This window comes from Homo sapiens, chromosome 7 (genome assembly GCF_000001405.40).
Source record: "Homo sapiens chromosome 7, GRCh38.p14 Primary Assembly".
Taxonomy (NCBI): Eukaryota; Metazoa; Chordata; class Mammalia; order Primates; family Hominidae; genus Homo; species Homo sapiens.
This window is the reverse complement of record NC_000007.14, coordinates 32,515,208-32,535,812: the sequence shown is the minus strand read 5'-3', so window position 1 is coordinate 32,535,812 and position 20,605 is coordinate 32,515,208. Positions and strand designations below refer to the sequence as shown.

Below are 20,605 nucleotides of genomic sequence, written 5' to 3'. Positions count from 1 at the left end.
ACGTGGGGATTATGGGGAATATAATTCAAGATGAGATTCTGGGTGGGGACACAGCCAAACCATATCACCAGAAATTGAGAAACACTTATTCTCATCCAGTAGGGTTATTATTAAATAGTGAAATTTAATGGCCCCAAATCTAAATCAAATTTGGGGATCAAAATAGAGTCTGCCAAGATAAATTTAACAGTTTATTTGAGCAAAGAACAATTCACCAGTCACGTAACCTTCAGAACAAGAAGTTGAGAGAGCTCATCTCTGCAATGTGGGTAGTGAGTATTTTGGGATGGGTAAAAGGCTGAAGAAAGCAGAAATAAGGAACAAAAAGTAAATCAGTAGTTTCAAAGTTACTTTCCTTTTAAGGGTTAAAGCAGAGGAGACTCCCTTATCATGCCAGCTAAAACTAGCCTGTTTGGGGATTTGACTTTTGTTTCTCTTTCTCCTGATTTCTCAGGTCAGATAACTTAGATTGGTGACGTCGAACTTTAGCAGGAGGGACCTCTAACTTGGTTTGGTCTGTTGGAGCTGATGAAGGAGCTCAGTGGAAACCAATGGTCTCCAAAGATTTTATTTACATTTCCATAAGGCGGAGGGAGCCAACTGTAGAGTTCAGGACATGACACCCCAAAATATGTCTGTAGGACACCAGTATATGCCATTCCAAATATGCCTCTTTGGCACAGGATTACTTTAAACTGATTATTTTGGGAAACAGACACAGGAGAAGCTCTGAAAACAGTAAAAGTTGTATTTTTGTAAGAGAAATTTATTTTATAAAGAATATCTACATTTGTAAGAGTGTCTTCCTTTCTGTACCAGGAAGAGAAGGATGACTAAATCACTGGAAACTTTCATTTATTTGTTTGAGACAGGATCTGGCTCTGTTGCCCAGGCTGGAGTGCATTGATGTGATCTCGGCTCACTGCAACCTCCACCTTCCAGTTTCAAGCGATTCTCCTGCCTCAGCCTCCCGAGTAGCTGGGATTACTGGTGCCTGCCACCACACCTGGCTAATTTTTATATTTTTTTCAGTAGAGATGAGGTTTTCACCATGTTGGCCAGGCTGGTCTCGAACTCCTGACCTGAAGTGATCCACCTGCCTTGGCCTCCCTAAGTGCTGGGATTAAAGGCCTAAATCACTGGAAACTCTTATCAACACAAAAAGCACAAGTTCAATCTGCATAACAAACCTCACTTTTGTTTACCCTGCACTTCTTCACCAGGTAGTCTTAACAGAGAATGAGGGTTGTCTGGCCTACACCCTTCATTCTTTGTGTTGGGGAATGAAGTGTGTAAGTCTGAAGTTGAAGCCACCTCTTTGAGATCTACTCTTGAGATTTTCTCATTTCTGAGTTATCTCCCATGTATTCACAAGGTAATCATGTTAATAAACTTCTGTTTGCTTTTCTCTTAAAAAAAAAAAAGATGTCTGGTAGGGCATTAATACATGCAATGCATAAAAAATGTATCAAATATCCCCAGAAAGGCTGCTACTAAATCACACAAATTTCAAATATGACTTTGTATGTAACCAATATTCATGTGGCCAAATCTATTTTGATTCTAATTTTTAGATTTACAAGATTACTAAGGGAGAAGAGGAGGGAAAAATAAGACAATAGCTGATTTCTAAAAAGTAAAAGCTGACTCTGATCACAAGGAATAAAAAAGCAATTTTTCTAAATGCTAAATGAACTATGCAAGAAAGGGTGACATGTTTGTCCTCCAGTAATAAAAATTACCATGCTTTGTCATAGTTTATAAACCAAATTGGTGTCCTCTAGTCAGATTCCATTTACTTTGTCCTCAGAAAAAAAGACTGAGAAAACAAGAAAACTACAAAAACAAAGTAACATAGTACCCTAGTGTGAACTCTGAGTACTTCAGGAATACCCTCTGTTCACTTTTTAACAATGCACTATGTTCCACTGCCAGAGAACCATACGGCAAATAGAAGCCACACTGCCAAACTATTAGCACACACATTAACCACATCCATGGACCCTACGTATATCAACGGCTTACAGAAGGAAGGAGAGTGCTTCACAACTGCTCTGCCTCTTTGCTTCCTTTCTCGGTATCTCAGAGATTTTTTCTTTTCACTCAGAAGCACAAAGTATTTATTTTCTTAATAGTCATAATATTTTAGGCAGCAAAGTCAAAGCTCTGTCATGTTTTCTGCTTAAAACAAAAGAAAACGAAAAAGCCCTGGGCATCAGACATGTTTTCTTCTCAGTTATGGTTTCTTTCTCATATCTCTTGAAAAGTCAATACTACAAAGCAATTGGCATTTATTCCTCACTCGACTACAAAGTTGGCAACAAATCACTGTATTTGTCAAGTATAGATTTGAAACAGCTGCGCTTTACACTCCTATACCTCAATATGACAACATTTTCATGACTGCATTAGATGTTCAGAAATATAAAGTGTATACTGCAGAGGTAAAATGGTACTTTTGAGACTTACCAATTAAAAGTAAGATTTTTTATTTTTTATTTTTCTTGAGACACAGTCTGGCTCTGTCGCCCAGTCTGGAGTGCAGTGGCATGCTCTTGGCTCACAGAAACTTCCACCTCCTGGATTTAGGCGATTCTCCTGCCTCAGCCTCCCGAGTAGCTTGGATTACAGGCACCTGCCACCACAGCCGGCCAATTTTTGTATTTTTAGTAGAGACGGGGTTTCATCATGTTGGCCAGGCTGGTCTTGAACTCCTGACCTCAAGTGATCCACCCGCCTCAGCCTCCCAAAGTGCTGGGATTATAGGCCACCGTGCCTGGCCTTGTTCTGTTTTTAAGAGACAGGGTCTTGCTCTGTCACTCAAGCTGCTGTGCACTGGTGTGATCAGGGCTCACTGCAGCCTCGGCCTCCTGTGCTCAAGTGGTCCTCCCACTTCAGCCTGAGTAGCTGGGACTACAGGCGTGCACCACTGCACCCAGTTAATTATTTCATTTTTCGTTGCCCAGGCTGCTCTCAAACACCTAGGATCAAGCAATCTTCCCACCCTGGTCTCCCAAAGGGCTGGGATTACAAGCATGTGTCACTGAGCCCATCAAGAAGTTTGTTTTTAAATTAAATGGAAATAAGTATCTTAGTTTAAAGCATGTACTTTTATACATTCAAGTGAATAAAGGCTGTTATCTTCTATTTTTTCCCTAGAATTAAAGAGCTATTATTTCACATTCCTTAAATTGGAGTACTTGGATTATGAGCATGAAAATAGATAATGTGTATTTTAATTTTAACGTAGAAATTGTTATTATGAGAATCCCACCACAGTGAAACAGAATATCAGGACTCTATTATATAAAATGACATTTTGCTTGTGTCAACATATATTGATAGGGATGGAGGTAGAGATATTCTAGGCAGAAAAGGGTGGGTCCCCAATAAAACACCACCTTGAAGTGGAAAAGCCTGAAACCCGTGGCCCAAAGTGAGAACTTGTTTTTCCACTAGAATATTGCCTTTCATTAAACTATCCATGGCCTGCCCAGCCCCCATCCTGTGCCTATAAAAACCCCTGACTCAGCTGGCAGAGAGACGCAGCTAGATGTCAGGGACTACGGCTGGACACTGGAGAGAAGTGGCTTGACTTCAGAGGGACAGCTTGATGGCCTAACTTTGGAAAAGAATCTGGTTGGAGATGGCTGGACTTCAGGGGAAGCTTACCTACCTGCCCCATCTCTTTTTCAGCTCCCCTTTCCACTGAGAGCCACTTTCATTGGCAATAAAATCCCCTGCATTTACCACCCTTCAATTCGTTCAAGCGACCTCATTTTTCCTGGACGCTGGACAAGAGCTTGGGAGCCACGAGTGTGGATACAAAAGGCGGTCACACTGCCCTGGTGGAGGACACCTGCCTCATGCAAAAAGGCAGAGGGCCCACTGATCTGTTAACACTTAAGCTGTTTGCAGATGGAAGAGCGAAATGAACACTGTAACACACCCTCTGGGGCTTTGGGGGTCACAAGCACCCCCACCTAGATGTTGCTGCAGGGCCTGCACAGAGTTTGCTCCTGCCGGTGTCCAAAAGCGCTCGCTTTGGCTCCTGTACCCACTCACCTGTGCATTCCCTCCACGAGGGGTGGAATGCAGTGGATCTGAGTGGAGTTTGATCCCATCAGCTCTGAAGCAGCCAGTCAGCTCCAGTGCTCGTGCACTCCAGTTCCCACCTCATTCGCTCGTGTGCTCCCTCCTGCGAGGAGTTGAGAACGGTGGGCTGAGTAAAGGAGGTACCCTGTTGTGAGTCCCGCAAAGGGGTCAGGGATATATCCTGCCTCAGGATTAAGGAAGCTGATTTTCACGCTAATGGTACTTGAGGCACTAACATTAAGACGCTATCATTCTGTTTTTCCACTTTAAAGTCATTGGAACGTTATATGAATATACATGTTCATTAACATGTATATTCATATAAAGGTCATTAACATGTAACTGCATATACACAGTAAACTGAAGTAAGATTTGATAAAATAGAGAAAGAAAAAGAAAACTTATCTGAGGAATGCAAGCCCCTTTAAATTAGCAGACCCAGAAGTCATTCCACCTTGAGCTAAATAATTACCGCTTAAAGCCACTTGCTATGCAAGCTCTAGACTGAGGCCAAGTAGCCAAAAAATGCGTTACACCCTATAGCTCAACAATGTATAGGCAATCACTAACTAATGCCATTTCTGTAAGCCAATGAGAATTCCTGAAGAACAACTTTTGTAATTGTCCCTGCCCCTCATTTGTCTTTTTTCTTTAAAACTTGAGCCTCTCTTGTTCTCTGGAGTACTCCCCAAGGCAAACTGGAAATGTGTCCTGGACTGCAGTCCTCAACTTCTGTTCTTAAATAAACTCTTTTTTTTTTAATAGGTGGAGTCCTGCTCTGTCACTGAGGCTGGAGTGCAGTGGCATGATCTTGGCTCATTGCAACCTCCGCCTTCTGGGTTCAAGCAATTTTCATGGCTCAGCCTCCTGAGTAGCCAGGACCACAGGCACATGCCACCATGCCCAGCTAATTTTTATGTATTTTTATTAATAGCAGAGATGGGGTTTTACCATGTTAGTCAGGCTGGTCTCGAACTCCTGACCTCAAGTGATCTGCCTGCCTTGGCTTCCCAAAGTGCTGGCATTATAGGTGTGAGCCACCGTGCCTGGCCAAATAAATTCTCTTTTAAACTACATTCTGACTTTTGATTATTTTAGGTTGATAGAATTATGTTTGTTTAAAAGAAATATTTCTTCTAAAAAGGAAAAATCTTTACATATGAATAGCAAAATTGAGAACCCTACTAAGTATTAATCTCTACCTGATATGAGAATAAATAGCATTGTTATAAGGATTTGGCATTTATTGAAACGTAAGTATTTGCAGATATACAACTTAGAAAATCAGAAATGCCCTCAGATATGGCATTAATAGAATTTGATTTATGTTTCTGACAAATAATTTCCAGTAATACCAGATTTGTTTTGGAGAGCTACTTTATGTAAAGCTAGACAGCATCAAATACATTTACTAGTTATGAGTGAACTCTCACTTAAAACATAGTTATGAAGGATCTTAAATGTATTAGACTTTGACTTGATCTTTTATATTGAAGAAATCTGGGACTCTTATATTACCCTAAGTTCCAAGTTAAAACACACACCTTGGTCATGTAGCACAAATGTGTATAACTATGTGGAAAAAAATTCCAACTTTTATAAACTTAAATCCAATAATTAAAAAAAATCTTTTAAAATAGAATGTGTTTTGTCTTATTTGTCATAACCAAAAGCTGGGAACCCATATGTCCATTAATAGGATAAGGGATAAATCAATCAAAGTCTATGTATATAATGAAATACTATACAGCAGTTACTGATACAAACAACATGGACCAATCTCAGACATAATACTAAGAGAAAAAAGACACAAAAGAGACAGCATGGGTCAAAACATGGTTACTCTTGTGTGGGAACTGGATAGGAAGGGGTGCATAAGGACATCTTCTAAAGCACTGGAATTGTTCTCTGTTTTGATCTGGATATTTGTTACATACACATATGTAAAAATTAATTGAACTGCATTAGGTTTCATGCACTTTATTGTTTATAAGTTACACCTCAATTTAAGAAAATGCTTAAAAATATATGAAGATGAAGTGTTCAAATGCATGGGCCTTTGAAACTGAATAAGCATTGAGTTCCAGTCCTAGCTTGCTACTTAGCTATGTAACCCAGAGCAAGTCACTGGCCATTGCTTAACTTTAACTTCAATTTCCTTATCTATAAAGAAGGCTAATAAATCTTTGCTTTTTCTAAATGAAATTTAAGGGAAATAACTGTTTTGGACTGAGCTATAGGGTGTATTAGGACTAATAAACCAGACCAAACCAGAATGGAGTCACTTATTCTAGGTGCCATGTACTTCACAAACTGTACTTTGAAACCAGTTTCCCCCTAAAACCAGGAGATTTACAGCAACCAATCAGAAGGGACCCAGTTTACCTGAGCAGGCGTGATAGGGGGGTCCCCTCTGTTTTAACCCCATAGGTAACTTTTAAATGACCAATCTGCCCTTTGTTCTGTTTCTGCTTTCTTCAACCATTTCCTGCCTACAAAGCCAACCTCTTCTGCTCAGCTCATCAGAGTGCCTTTCCTAAATCTTAAATGAGAGGCATCCCATTCATGGACTGCTAATGAAAGTCAATTAGATCTTTAAAGTAAATCTGACAAAATACTGTTTTTAATAGTTTGTGGTAAAGAATAAATGATATCGGGCACACAACTAACACAATGCTTAGTATATGATAAACATTTTTTTGTTTTTTGAGATGCAGTCTCGCTCTGTCACCCAGGCTGGAGTGCAGTGGCGCGATCTTGGCTCACTGCAGGCTCTGCTCCCTGGGTTCACGCCATTCTCCTGCCTCAGCCTCCCGACTAGCTGGGACTACAGGCGCCCGCCACCATGCCCGGCTAATTTTTTGTATTTTTAGTAGAAATGGAGTTTCACCATGTTAGCCAGGATGGTCTCGATCTCCTGACCTTGTGATCTGCCCGCCTCAGCCTCCCAAAGTGCTGGGATTACAGGCGTGAGCCACTGCGCCGGCCTATGATAAACATTTAATAAACGGCAGCTATTATGATTAACATCTTTGACTTATCAGAAAGATATCTAATCCAGAAGCAGTTTCTTTTCTGAAAAAAAGAGTAGTACCAAGGGAGCCTCGGTGGACAAGCAGAAGCCCTATGCCAAGCCTCTGGACAAAATGGTCTAGGTGACTACTCAGGGTTGGTGAAGAGGGCCTGTACCCCATCAAGGGGCTACAGTACTTCAGACAGGTTTCATCCCACCTGGGTTGCCAGAATTGTTACTGAGCAAAACGGGCTCTCTCCTCAATGAGTTAGAAGCTGTAAACCAAAAAGTATCTGAGACAAGAGACAAGTCTCAATTTAGAAAGTTTATTTTGCAAGGTTAAGGATGCACCCATGACAACCTCAGGAGGTCCTGAGGACACATGCCCAAGGTGGTTGGGCTCCAGCTTGCTTTTATACATTTTAGGGAGACATAATACATCAATCAATACATGTTAAGGTTTACATTGGCTTAGTCTAGAAAAGCGAGACAACTCGAAGGCGTGGGTGGGGTAGGGGTAGGTGTCAGGGTGGGTGGTGTTTCCAGGTCATAGGTAGATTTAAACAGTTTCTGATTGGAAATGGTTCAGACAGTTATGCATAGAAAGGAATGTCTGGGTGAAGACAAGGGGTTGTAGAGACCTAGGTTTTATCATGCAGATGAAGCCTCCAAGTATCAGGCTTTAGAGAGAATAGATTGTAAATGTTTGTCAGATTTAAGGTCTGTGTTGATGTTAATGCTGGAGGGGTATAATGAGGCATGTCCTACCCCAACTCCCCTATTTCTCATCATGGCCTGAACCAGTCTCCCAGGTTAAATTTTACGGTACCCTGGCCAAGGAGGGAGTCTATTCAGATGATTGTGGGAGGTAGGTGGGTGGGTGGGTGGAACACACTTTGAATTTTATTTTTGGTTTACATTCTCTCACTTCTGGCCAAGATTTGCCAGAGGCAACATCAATGGCCACCAAATTTTAATTCTGTCCCATAGTGTTGCTGGTGTGGCATAGCAGCCTGCCGTGGGCCCATCCTGTCCCTCGGTGGGACTCCCTATGGTCAAGGGTGTTAGAGTCAGCAAGACTTACAGACAATTCACTGTTCTAGGTCAGACTGGGCTAGACATGGCCAGGCATTCATTACCCCTTAAAATTATTTTTTTTTAAGTAGAAAGCCAACAATCAAAAAAACCAAAGGCGAAGTTACAAAACTGACTTATTTTTAACTTGTATGCACTGAGCTACTGTAGTCTCGGTTGTATAGACTCAGAGCAATTAGCTATACAAAACATAAGCATTGTCTTGAAAAATTTTTAAAAGACATATAGAACTATCTGCACTTCTCATAACTGAGGGTATTAACCCAGCAGGCTTTGTCGCAAGTTATCTTTATCCTATCAGTAACTGAACTCTTTTGGGCACCATTATTTTCATTAGTATAGGGGTAGCTTCAGTAATTGTTTTAATTCTACAGGAAGCAGGAAATTATTTATGGCTGAAGTGGATAGAAAGGTGCCACACAATAGCTCAGGAGGCAAAGTCCCTTGTTTTATCAGCTGTTTCGGCATCTTTGTACCCATCCTTGATTTGGAGGGTCTGACCTTGACCTAATTCTATCCCTCAAAACCAGCCCTTACAATCTCACACGCCCACTTCTCCTGTGATAGTCCTTGGCCCTAGAGGGAGGGTGCTTGCATAGTTTTGAGACAGTCAAGTAAAAAGGGGTCCCCGGGGAATATCCAACTGGCCTGCACACTGGGAGGATGGGATGCAGCCTCAGGAAATTTGTGCCGCAGTGGGGAGGAGCCTGGCCTCTCTTTTTCCTGTGTGGTAACCTGGAATTTCATCTGTGAGGTGGGAAAACTGCTATTGGGACTCTCTTTCGCTCTGCGGAGGGTTCCTGTTTCCCTTTTTATTCCTTTCACCCAACAAACCCTGCCCTACTCACCCTATAATGTGTATGAAACCGCTGGGACTCTTTTGAAAAAATGTCTCTTTTTTCTTTTTCCTCCTCTATCCTCTTCACAGATAGAAACAGGATGCCTCCCCAGGATGCACCCTCCAAACTGGGAAGGGTTAATTTCCCAAACCTTAAACTTGTTAGCTTAGCATTGGGCTTAGGGGAAGGGAACCCAGGAGCCTGACATGCTGACAAAAGGGTAAGTGTTTTTTTTAGCCAGTCAGGCTTTGGGCCCCTCTGTCCCTGTGCAAACTGGTTTATAAAAGGCCTCAGGATTTTTGAGAGGTCCTTACCCTTCGCCACTTATTTCGTTTTGATATATGTTTTCTAAGAACCCGGTTTGTCTCTTCTTGCCTTCAGACCATCACACTCCAAGTGGTTATGAACTGGAGCCTTGGACGACGGCCCCTTTTGCTAGGGACCCTTAGATTGGTCTCTGAAGGAGATCTGACTGCCATTTTCCCAAAACAGCACCTCCTGTCAGCAGGAAGCAGTTAAGATTGGTCTTCATCCTTATCCTTATCCTTCTAATGGCAGTTAAATGTATTTCTTTAGAAGGGTGAATGAGACTAAGTAAAAAGGGGTCCCTGGAGAATCTCTGACTGGCCTGCGCACCAGGAGGACAGGATGGAGCCTCAGGAAGTCCATGCCGTTTGCAGAGGGGAGAAGCCTGGCCTCTCCTGTTCTTGTGTGGTAACCTAGGTTTCAATCTGTGAGTTAGGAAACCTGATAGCAGTACTCTCTCAATTTGCTGAGGGTTCCTGTTTCCCGTTTTTTCCCTTTTCACTCAATGAACCCTGCCCTACTCACCCTACAATGTATCCGCATGCCTAAATTATCTGGGTTGTGTGACAAAAACCAGTGTTTTTCCCCCCCAAAAACAGTTTTAGTAGTAGGGCATTTGCAGTAAAAAACAAATCAGGCCCAGTGAGATGCCAAAGGAGGGAGACTGGTTTGGTTTCCTTGAAAGTAAAACAAGGAGAAATAAATAACATTAATATTTTGACAATAAAAAGATTATTTGTGTGTCAGGGCAGAAAAATAAACCTATTCCATTAGGGCACCAACTAAAGATATGAAAAAGTTATAATCTTATAATCTGATACTCTCTAGAGATTACTGTAGCCAAGATATAATTCATGATTCAATCTGCACTCAAAAAAACAAAAGTTAGGGGTGAAATCTAGTATAAAGCATTACATTTTTCCTTTGAAACAATTTCTCTCTAGCCCTCCTTTTCTATTAAAGAGAAATTGTAGTAAGACCAATTTGTGTGCAAAATAAGTTCTAAGCTTATTATACTTTGCCTGATGATTTACATAAAGTGCAGCAAGAATTCATTGACTATATAGGCTCTTAAGTTGGCTTTGTTGGAACTTTACCTAAAAATATGCTATTCTAGTGAAAGTCTTGGTAAAATAACCAGTGTCTCCAACTGTTTTGTTCTAAAAGACTCTTACTAAACTTATGCAAACAACTATACTGTCATAAAATCACAATCTGAATTTTGGAGAACTCAGAAATGTAATTTTGCTTACAAAAATATACTTCACCCAAATGTTCTAAACTGGAAATAAAGGAAAAATAAATTTTTTTGACCCTTCGTTAGCCAGAGCAGCAGCCTTCCAAACAAGGTGTTTGTTTACCTTTGAACTGCCATTCACGAGCCAAACAGCTCATGAGAACCATCAGGCACTGTGGAATCTAGCAGCCCGTCATACAGTTAGAAACAGTCCTAGGGTAAAAGGAAGCTCCCTGCTCATGAGTATTGTCCTCCTTGAACATCCAGGTAGCAAGATCTATGTAAACCACTTTTATTTTACCATGGAACTCTTGGGCACCATTATTTCCATTAGCATAGGGGTGGCTTCAGTTAACATTCCATAGCAAGACAGTACATGCCCCTCAAGTGGAAATTCTCTAGTCCAGTAGTTATCACTGGGAAGTACTCACAGTCTTTTGCCATAAGCCCCAGTAAATGCTCCACAAAAGGCTATGAAGTGGAGGATTTGTCCCAACTAGCACTGCAGCTTCTAACCCATATTTTGTGGGCTCAGGCAATCTTACTAGTTCCCATTTAGTGTGTCCAATTAACATTTCTCAAAGAGCAGATTTACATGCCTTCAGTTTTATAGCACTAGATAGGGGAAACATCCCTCAGTTAGATATAATACCCATTTTCTTTTCTCTCTGTGTGTGTGTGTGTGTGTGTGTGTGTGTATTTCTCCCTCCCACAAGATGGAGTCTCGCTCAGCCGCCCAGGGAGGAGTGCAGTAGCATGATCTCGGTTCACTGCAACCACTGTCTCCTGAGTTCAAGCAATTCTCCAGTCTCAGCCTCCCGAGTAGCTGGGATTACAGCCACCTGCCATCATGCCAGGCTAATTTTTGTATTTTAGTAGAGACGGGGTTTTGCCATGTTGGCCAGGCTGGTGTTAAACTCCTGACCTCAGGTGATCCATCTGCCTTGGCCTCCCAAAGTGCTAGGATTACAGGCGTGAGCCACCGTGCCCAGCGATGTAATACCCATTTTCATAAGACAGGTAAAGGAGTCACAACTACCTTACATAAAGTCTGTTTAAACATCTCAAATTTCATAATTTGACAGGTGTGGTGGCTCACTGCTGTAATCCCAGCACTTTGGGAGGCTGAGATGGGCGGATCACTTGAAGTTAGGAGTTTGAGACCAGCCTGGCCAACATGTTGAAACCCCATCTCGACTGGGTGCAGGGGCTCACGCCTGTAATCCCAGCACTTTGGGAGGCTGAGGTGGGCAGATCACGAGGTCAGGAGATCGAGACCATCCTGGCTAACACAGTGAAACCCCATCTCTACTAAAAATACAAAAAATTAGCCGGGCGTGGTGGTGGGCACCTGTAATCCCAGCTACTTGGGAGGCTGAGGCAGGAGAATGGTGTGAACCCAGGAGGCGGAGCTTGCAGTGAGCCGAGATCGTGCCACTGCACTCCAGCCTGAGTGACAGAGCAAGACTCCGTCTCAAAAAAAAAAAAAAAGAAAAGAAAAGAAACCCCATCTCTACTGAAAATACAAAATAATAATAATAATACTTAGGCAGGTGTGGTGGCACACCCCTATAGTCCCAGCTACTCCGGAGGCTGAGGCAAGAGAATAGCTTGAACCCAGAAGGCGGAGGCTGCAGTGAGCCAAGACTGCACCACTACATTCCAGCCTGGGAGATGGAGCGAGATTCCATCTCAAAAAAAAAAAAAAAAAAAAAAAAAGGAAATTTATAATTCTATTAACATGTATGTTTTTAATGTTTTGGTCCCAGGAACTTTTCTACCCCCAGACCATTTTACCTTACCTGGTTAAAAAAAGTTTAGGTTCCCAGCAGGGAGTCGAGCCAAGGGACTAAGGCTCTTTTGTTAATTTTTATCAATTTTCATCTTAATTGGCCTCAGCATTGCCCCAGGCAATGTCAGCTTTCTCATGATAAACTCTGCCTTCTGATTTTTTTTTTCCCCTTAATCTTCCAATCTGGGGCAAATGGTGAATAACCATCCCCAAATTTCTATCATCCTTCTGGGGCTAGTCCTTTGGCTCCCTTTTTGCTTTCCTTTTTTTTTTTTTTTTTTTTTTGGTTAATTACCCCAATGTTTTATTAACCATCTATAGACCCATGAGGGACAGCAAATTTGATTAGGCTTCTGTATTCAAATCCATTTTCATGCTGCTGATTCATACCTGAGGCTGGGAAGAAAAAAAGGTTTAATTGGACTTACAGTTCCACATGGCTGGGGAGGCCTCAGAATTATGGCGGGAGGCAAAAGGCACTTATTACATGGCGGTGGCAAGAGAAAATGAGGAAGCAGCAAAAGCAGAAACTCCTGATAAACCCATCAGAGCTTGTGAGACTTATTCACTATCACGAGAATAGCACGGAAAAGACTGGCTGCCATGATTCAATTACCTCCCCCTGGGTCTCTCCCACAACACATGTGAATTCTGGGAGATATAATTCGAGTTGAGATTTGGGTGAGGACACACCCAAACCATATCACACCCCTGCGCCCTCCAAATTTCATGTCCTCCCATTTCAAAACCAATCGTGCCTTCCCAACAGTCTCCCAAAGTCTTAACTCATTTCAGCATTAACCTAAAAGTCCACAGACCAAAGTTTCATCTGAGACAAGGCAAGTCTCTTCCGCCTATGGGCCTGTAAAATCAAAAGCAAGCTAGTTACTTCCTAGATACAATGGGTGTGCAGGTATTGGGTAAATACAGCCATTCCAAATGAGAGAAATTGGCCAAAACAATGGGGTTACGGGTCCCATGCAAGTCCAGAATTCAGTGGGGCAGTCAAATGTTAAAGCTCCAAAATGATCTCCTTTGATTCCAGGTCTCAAATCCAGGTCACACTGATGCAAGAGGTGAGTTCCCATGGTCTTGGGTAGCTCTGCCCCTGTGGCTTGGCAGGGTACAGCCTCCCTCCCGGATGCTTTCATGGGCTGGCGTTGAGTGTCTGCAGCTTTTCCAGGCACATGGTGCAAGCTGTCAGTGGATCTACCATTCTGGGGTCTAGAAGACAATGGCCCTCTTCTCACAGCTCTACTAGGCAGTGCCCCAGTAGGGACTCTGTGTGGGGGCTCCAACCCCACATTTCCCTTCCACACTGCCCTAGCAGAGGTTCTCTATGAGGGCCCCACCCCATAGCAAACTTTTGCCTGGGCATCTAGACATTTCCATACATCTGAAATCTAGGTAGAGGTTCCCAAACCTCAATTCTTTGACTTCTGTGCACCTGCAGGCTCAACACCATGTGGACGCTGCCAAAGCTTGGGGCTTCCACCCTCTGAGGCCACAACCTGAGCTGTACATTGGCCCCTTTCAGCCACAGCTGAAGCAGCAGCTGGGACACAGGGTGCCACATCCCTAGGTTGCACACAGCAAGGGGACCCTGGACCAGGCCCACAAAACCACTTTTTCCTTCTGGGCCTGTGATAGGAGGGGCTGTGGTGAAGGTCTCTGACATGGTCTGGAGACATCTTCCCCATGGTCTTGGGGACTAACATTAGGCTCCTTGCTACTTACACAAATTTCCGCAGCTGGCTTGAATCTCTCCCCAGAAAATGGGTTTTTCTTGTCTATCGCATAGTAATGCTGCAAATTTTCCAAACTTTTATGCTCTGCTTCCCTTATAAAACTAAATGCCTTTAACAGTATCCAAATCACCTCTTGAATGCTTTGCTGCTTAGAAATTTCTTCTGCCAGATACCCTAAATCAACTTTCTTAAGTTCAAAGTTCCACAAATGTCTAGGGCAGAGGCAAAATGCCACCAGTCTCTTCTAAAACATAACAAAAGTCACCTTTACTCCAGTTCCCAACAAGTTCCTCATCTCAATCTGAGACCACCTCAGCCTGGACCTTACTGTCCATATCGTTATCAGTATTTTGGGCAAAGCCATTCAACAAGTCTCTAGGAAGTTCCAAACTTTCCCACATTTTCCTGTCTTCTTCTGAGTCCTCCAAACTGTTCCAACCTCTGCCTGTTACCCAGTTCCAAAGTCGCTTCCACATTTTCAAGTATATTTTCAGCAGTGCCCCACTCTACCAGTACCAGTTTACTGTATTAGTCTGTTTTCGTGCTGCTGATAAAGACATACCCGAGACTGGGAAGAAAAAAAAATTTAATTGGACTAAAGTTCCACATGGCTGGGGAGGCCTCAGAATCATGATGGGAGGCTAAAGGCAATTATTACATGTCGGCGGGAAGAGAAAATAAGGAAGGAGCAAAAGCAGAAACCCTTGATAAACCCATCAGATCTCGTGTGACTTATTCACTATCACGAGAATAGCATGGGAAAGACTGGACCCCATGATTCAGTTACTTCCTCCTGGGTCCCTCCCACAACACATGTGAATTCGGGGAGATACAATTCAAGTTGAGATTTGGGTGGGGACACAGCCCAATTACCCCTATGTATTATTAACCATCTGTACACCCATGAGGGACAGCAAATTTGATAAAGCTTCTCAAACAGTCATATGATTCTGTGGGAGGGGTACCCATGTAAAAGGTGCCCCTCTCAGCCCAAAATTTGCCATGACCTGGGTTATAGGCATATTCAGTGGGAGAATATCCCAGTCCTCAAAAAGGTAGTCCTACATGGCTTGCATAAGAAGCGTATCAACTGCTTCATCTGGGGTGCTCCAGTTGGTGTTTTACAGGAAGAGTTAGGAAGTCTCCTTTTCAGGGCAAATAGACCTTACAACAGACCTTACAGTGGCATTTATCTAGTCTACTAGGCTGGTTGTTATCTCAGGAATAACCTCCTATGCCTTTGGATCACATATACTCATCAGGGATTGTTCAATAGTGAGCTGTGGGTCGTGCATCAATACAAACAAGCTCTTTCATTCAGTAGCATTTAAAATAAAAAATTTTGTCCTTACAGTGGCTATTTTTACAATCCATTAGAGATTTCTCAAGAAGCTAATGATACCAATCTATAAAATGGAACTGTTTTACATCATACTCTTCGCTTTTAATAGTTACTTGGTTTAATCCTTCCCATGCATCAACTATCTTCTTGGTAACCACAGGTCTTGGAGGTACATTTTGTTGCCCTGGCTTAATTTTTCTTTTTATCCATGTATTGTTATTTGTGAATGATATGGTTTCGCACTGTGTCCCCACCCAAATCTCATGTTGAATCATAATACTCAATGTCAGGGGAGGGACCTGGTGGGAGGTGACTGGATCGTGGGGGTGGTTTTCCCCTTGCTGTTCTTGTGATAGTGAGTTCTCACAAGATCTGGTTTTTGAAAGTGTGTTGCACTTTCCCCTTTGCACTCTCTCTCTCACACTTCCACATGTGAAGATGTGCTCACTTCCTCTATGACTTCTGCTATGATTGTAAGTTTCCTGAGGCCTCCCATTCATGCTTCCTGTACAGCCTGCAGAACTGTGAGTCAATTAAACCTTTTATCTTTACAAATTACCTAGTCTCAGGTAGTTCTTTACAGCAATGTAAGAATGAACTAATACAGTATAATTTTCTCTTTAATTTAAAACGACTGAAATAGCCTCTTAACTAGGAAAAAAATTACATTTTCTTTTATACTTTTTTACTTCTTTAATATTACTACTATTTTAACTCTTAGTAACCCAAATTCCTAGTGAAAAAAATCAAGGTTACTTAACATGATTTTAAGATTTTAAACTATTGCAGAGAATTTTGAGATTAAGTTTACCAAATTAATCTTACCAAAGACTGCCGAAGTCATGTGAATTAAAAGGCATCTGAACTAGCTTGTATCAGTCTGAAGGCCCTTCCATTTCTTTTCTTTTTTTTTTTTTTGGGACAGAGTCTCGCTCTGTCGCCCAAGCTGGAGTGCAGTGGCGCAGTGTCAGCTCACTGCAACCTCCATCTCCTAGGTTCAAGCGATTCTCCTGCCTCAGCCTCCTGAGTAGCTGGGATTACAGGTGCCTGCCACCACGCCCAGCTAATTTTTTGTATTTTTAGTAGAGATGGGGTTTCACCATCTTGGCCAGGCTGGTCTCGAACTCTTGACCTCATGATCCACCCGCCTCGGCCTCCCAAAGTGCTGGGGTTACAGGCGTGAGCCACCATGCCCGGCCAAGCCCTTACATTTCTTTAAGTCAAATTAGAACTCTTTCATAGAGTTTAACAGCGAAATACCACTTCCACATGGCACATATAATCATAGATATAACAGACATGCAGACAAAAGCAGAACCAAAAGATTTTTCATTTGCTTTTCAAAATTTTTCTTCTATAGATTATTAAGCTTGAGATATTTGAGTAGTTTCAAAAAGAAACAGATTATTGAATTTAAAAATTAAAAACTTCTTGCACTAAGAGTAACACAATTTTTCTAATGAAATCTTGTTTTAACCAATTATTGAGTGTATTTTTAATACTGAAGTCCAGTTTTTTAGAAAAACTATTATAATTTCATTATAGTCAATTAATCACATAACATTTTTATAAATTCCCTTTTTACTAACTGTATTATGACCTAGATCATTCACGACATGCTTGGACTTTCTGGTTTGTCCTACATATCCTTCTTTCTTAAACAACCCTGTCATTTTATTTTAGGAAAAAAATTCACCATAAAAGACTCTTTCTCACATATTTTTCTTTTAGCTTTCTTACCAAAAATACCTCTTTGATTATATAACTTCTTTCTTATTTGCTGGTTCCTCTTTATTTATACATAACCTTTAAAGCTTTGAATTAGACAAAAATTACCTTTTAATAAGAGCATACTTTTTTTTTTGAAACAATGTTTTCCTACAATATAATTTTTTAATTGGAAAATATCCAAACATTTAATGAAATATGTATTTAACTTTACATTCTAAATTATGACAAGTTTGTCTATAAGTATTTATTCCATTACATTTAACTAATTATTTTATTTTAATCGTTTACCTATTTATGAAAACTGCAAATAGTCGTCATTTAAAGTTATTTCCCTGTCAACCATTTTATAGTCTGTGAATTTCAGGTGTTTACCTAAGTAAGAAACTTAACATTAAATATATGTTTATTTTACCACATAATTCAAGATTTGGTTATTTTCACTAAACTAATATCAATGTCTTCTTTATCAAAAATTACACAGCACGGCTGGCACGGTGGCTCACACGTGTAAATCCTAGCACTTTGTGAGGCCGAGTTGGGTCGATCACTTGATGCCAGGAGTTTGAGACCAGCCTGGCCAACATGGTGAAACTCCGTCTCCACTAAAAATAAAAAAATTAGCCAGGCATGGTGGCACATGCCTGTAGTCCCAGCTACTCAAGAGGCTGAGGCAGAGAATCGCTTGAGCCTGGTAGGTAGAGGTTGCAGTGAGCCAAGTTCGTGCCACTGCACTCCAGCCAAGGTGACAAAGCAAGACTATGTTTCAAAAAAAAACAAAACAAAACAAACAAACAAAAAAAAAACACACAAGCAAAGATCATTCTGTTTTGGGCTGGGTTTATAGTTTAATAATGCTTATGCCAAATTTTGACACCTTATAGTATTTAGCAGGGATAAGTATGAAATCTCTTGATCAATAAATGCAAACAAAAATGTATGCTGACAATTCTTAAGACATTTCTCATATTACTTTACAAGTAATTTTAAAGCTAGATTAAAGATTTTACTGTCAGCCAGGCGTGGTGGCTAATGCCTGTAATCCCAGCACTTTGGGAGGCCGAGGTGGGTGGATCACGAGGTCAGGAGTTCAAGACCAGCCTGGCCAAGATGGTGAAACCCCGTCTCTACTAAAACTACAAAAATTATCCAGGCACAGTGGCAGGCACCTGTAATCCCAGCTACTAGAGAGGCTAAGGAAGGAGAATCGCTTGAACTCAGGCGACAGAGTTTGCAGTGAGCTGAGATCATGCCACTGCGCTCTAGCCTGGGCAACAGAGTGAGACTCTGTCTCAAAAAAAAAAAAAAGAAAAAGAAAAAGAAAAAAAGATTTTACTGTCACGTGAACTTGAAAAGCGTTTGGGCTTATTTATGAGTACTCTGTAAGTTTAAGCCACATTTGGTCCCTGTGGCCAAAACACATAACAAAATATGCATATGTACACATAAACACACACATACACCCTCACACAAAGATTCTATAGCTTTTACTTCAGAACTCTAGCCAGGAGATATTAATACAAACTCATTGGTTTGCAAAAACAATTAACAATAACAAAAACGAAATGGTTGAATACAAACAGTGGATTCTATCTCAGCAAAAAAGTAACAGCAGACTTAAAGCAGGCAGAAAAGAAAGAGATAGATAACTTAGGAACCTTATAGTTGCAGGTTGACCTTTGGGCTCTGAAATTTCCTTGATGTAATTGTGCACAAAAAGACCATAAAGACCATTTTACACAAACACTTGCAAGCAGAGGTGCCATAAAACCAACAGAGTGCCTGAAAGGGAGTCATTCTCCTTGTTTTTCCCATTCTTAGATTGTTTCCCACCTTTTTTTTTTTTTTTTTAAAGGCCTAGGGTTTAGTGGAATGGGTTGAAGTGTGCTGGTTATTGGCAGGACTCCATAGCGTGTTATCCACTGAGTCATTTTTGTCTCCAGAGGTCTAGCACCTCCAGGAGGGCTCAAAGCATGGAATGACCAGCTCCTATATTCATTTCTTGGACAAGCCTTTTAAAACTAATTTTGTTGGGGATTCCCTGTAGGGCTGCTGCACGTTGCTGGGGGTCAACCCACTAGACACTCCCACTTAGCCCCTAGTAATCCAGGGGAGCCTTTCAGCTGGGAGAAGCAAAATGCCCTTTAGGGAGCTGAGGAAACTCATTCTCTCATTTATCTATGAAAATGAGTTTCAGTTCCTCACGCAAATGCCCAGAGAAGCCAATCAAGATTAATTTTGAGAGGAAAGGCAATGGAGAAGACTCTGTAGAATGCACCTCTGAATTAGAATTAGGATCCTAAACAACTTCCTAGGTGGAAAAAACAAAACAGTGAAGACTGCTTCCTGTAAACTGTCCTCAGTCAGCTTTAACTTTGTAGCTCTCATCCGCCAGTACACACATCAAGGTAAAATCCTCTCACAGTACAAGGTAATCTCTGCTACTCACAAAAGCCAAAGAGGTGAGGTAATGTAATACAGGAAAGCAGAACTTTAGACCTAAGAAGAATCTGCCCATGACTCTTGAAACTCCACAAAGAAAACAGAACACCCCCAAATGGGGTGAGTGGTGCCTTTGTTCTGTGTTCTTTAAGGGGTTTGAGTCATCTCTAGATTTTTCTTCGTACTGAGTATGGCAAAGTGGGGAAGGAGGAATAGGGTAGAGAAAAGTAAATGAAAGAACAATTTTTTTTTAAAGACAGGAAGCAACCAGAAATTGATTTTTTTTTCTTTTGCAGCAGCAAGGAATTTTAGCTAATTCAGAGAGGCCTTGTTCCCTACAATTTGGAATTTTTATTCAGATTTGACTAAGTCAGGCAGAATTGGTCAAATCTGATGGGAGAAAGACCAGAACAAACAACAACAAAAACCCAACAATATGATTACTGAGCGCTATAACAGTAAGGAGAAACTACGACCAGCTGCATCATAACTTTAACCAAGATGAAACCCCAATTCAGTCACTTACCTAGGAATGGGTCTCAGGCTGAAGACTGCTCTCTACCATTCTAGAAGCAGGAAAACTCAAATTCGCCTTCTCTGTTGGAAGTGAGCTCTAACTCCAGAAAGGAGTTACCTGCCTTCTATTGTCATGGAAGCAGGAAAACTTGCTTTCCTTGTTGGAAGCAAGTAAAACTCTAGAAAAGGAGTTGTACAGCAAAATACACTTTGGATCTCAACCAAATTTGGGGAGATCAGGATTCTCTGGAGGGAGGAGGGCTCCCAGCTCTCAGCCAATTGTCCTGTTGGTTTCGACCATAAAGACAGCTAAAAGCTGGTACTAAATATCAATAGATTTGTCAGAGGTTGAGGCCACCTATACTCAGAGTCTCTTTCATCGGTTGCCAATTTGTAAACCAAAAAGTATTTGAGACAAGTCTGAATCAATTTAGAAAGTTTATTTTGCCGAG

General features: G+C 41.4%; 1 protein-coding gene across 13 annotated transcripts in view, besides 1 other annotated feature; it reads right to left on the bottom strand.

Annotated features, from left to right (window-relative positions):
* AVL9 (AVL9 cell migration associated) overlaps window positions 1–20,605 on the bottom strand; it is a 93,238-nt gene that overhangs the window by 52,914 nt on the left and 19,719 nt on the right. The gene's annotated exons all lie outside the window — the stretch shown is intronic.
* Window positions 19,492–19,541: an enhancer, noted in NCBI's record as "active region_25828". NCBI's record gives its function as "activates an Ori minimal core promoter by ATAC-STARR-seq in GM12878 lymphoblastoid cells {active_cell/tissue: GM12878}" and the evidence as "EXISTENCE:reporter gene assay evidence [ECO:0000049][PMID:35858748]".